Genomic DNA, 1689 nt, shown 5'->3' with positions numbered 1-1689 from the left:
ATTTCCACAATCATTTTGTTAGAAATTAAGAACAAACCAAAAAAAAAACCAGTATCTGTCAGTTCAGGTTTGCAAAGGGAATACAAGTGGAGACCAGGAATGACCCTCTGGCCAGTCATGACTCCTAAAATCCTAAATATAGGTCCTCTCTCTGTCTTGAGAAACTGAAGTGAAGCTCACACTGTGAGAACAAGTAGAAAGGTGTACACTTGCAGGGAAATATCTAAACTCAACAAAAATCATTAAAAGTAAGCAAAACAGTGTGAAGCGCCAAAGAAGAAATCTCAAATTCGAATTCTGTTTGGATTAGGATGTATCGTCAAGATCCTGAGTTAATGACAAAATCCTGGTTATTTCCCTTCATTGTAAAATAGGGGCACTGTGGTCTTGGTCTGCTGTCTCTCTTCAGCCCCAACCCTGTTTTGAAAGAGCCAGCTCCACTTCCACTGAGAATTCCCCAATCTAGGTATCCTCAGCAGTGCTCTAATCCCGTGTAATTTTATTAGTCTCAATGGCAGATCAGCTCTAAGTGCCCCCACAGAAAGGGAGCTGTCAGCCCTGCTATTGTTTCCCACTTAATGTGATTCCGGGCAGCCAAGAAGAAAGGCAGCCAGAGCCCTCCGTCTCACATTACAGACCCCAGTTTCTAAACCAATTAAGGAAAGGGGATTTACAGTCCTCAGGATTAGAGACTCTGTTTATATTATCCTATATTTCTTCTCTTAATACCCTCCATTTTATGTCTCCTACCGGCCCTCCCTCGTCTCTGGAAGGCTCCCATTCACTTACCCACACATCTCCCTATTTGCTTCTCTGGGTTTGCTTTTTGAGTGCGGTAACTGAGCTGGGTAATTCTCACTGATTGTTTTAATTATGTTTCAGAATCCTTGTGCATTTGCTGTCTGGAGAACTGAGTAACGAAAATGCTGGGGCTGGGCCCAAGCCTGATATTCAAGCAGACCTTGATAAAGCGGTACATTTCTGTGCAAGCAATCATTCCAATTGATTGAATAAAAACATCCTGCAGGATGTTTATCAGGGAAAGAAAGCTTGGCTCTCACAAGGCAGATTGGTCAGTATCCTGATATTGCAGCAAAAGGTGCCAATTTTTTTTTTCTTTTTAGAATCACATTTGATGTGGAAGGTGAAATAAGGTTTCACTGAAGCAAGAGAACAAATGGGGAAGATAATCTTTAAGAAAAAGCTCCAGACCATTTTAAACAAACTGTGGCCCAAACTGAGTGTTAGTCCAAAGCTTCCCTTTTCTTCTGCTTTTCTAAGGGAAGCTCGTACCACAAGAAGTCCAGCTGATTTTCTCCTACCCAAAGATATGTATAATTTTTCCCTTGGCTGGTGCTGTGACAATGAAAACCTCACTCAATGGGTTTCTATTAGAACCAAATGGATTTGGAGAAGCATTTTTACTCTTAATGGAGACTTTCTATTGAATTCCATTTTTCAGCATTTTATTTTAGTTTCAGTTGAATATTTAAACAGGTTTAAATTTTAACTATCTGTGCTGAACAAGCCCCGATATATATTTTTTAAATTGCTGTAATACTTCACTGCGTTTCATTTTTAACCTGATACAATATGCATAATGCATTATGTTAGCATTACATAAGTTGGGTGTGCTCAGACACCAGGCTAAGGCACCTTTTTACATAGTTAAGTTACACCATTGCAATG

The 1689-nt window shown here is 39.9% G+C and overlaps 1 annotated feature.

Annotated features, from left to right (window-relative positions):
• Positions 242-1084: an enhancer, noted in NCBI's record as "OCT4-NANOG hESC enhancer chr2:205093005-205093847 (GRCh37/hg19 assembly coordinates)". NCBI's record gives its function as "activates a minimal SCP1, AML or CMV promoter by ChIP-STARR-seq in naive H9 embryonic stem cells {active_cell/tissue: H9 hESC(naive)}" and the evidence as "EXISTENCE:reporter gene assay evidence [ECO:0000049][PMID:30033119]".

Source organism: Homo sapiens, chromosome 2, assembly GCF_000001405.40.
Source record: "Homo sapiens chromosome 2, GRCh38.p14 Primary Assembly".
In the NCBI taxonomy this organism is placed as follows: Eukaryota; Metazoa; Chordata; class Mammalia; order Primates; family Hominidae; genus Homo; species Homo sapiens.
This window is presented reverse-complemented; position numbering and strand designations above follow the sequence as displayed.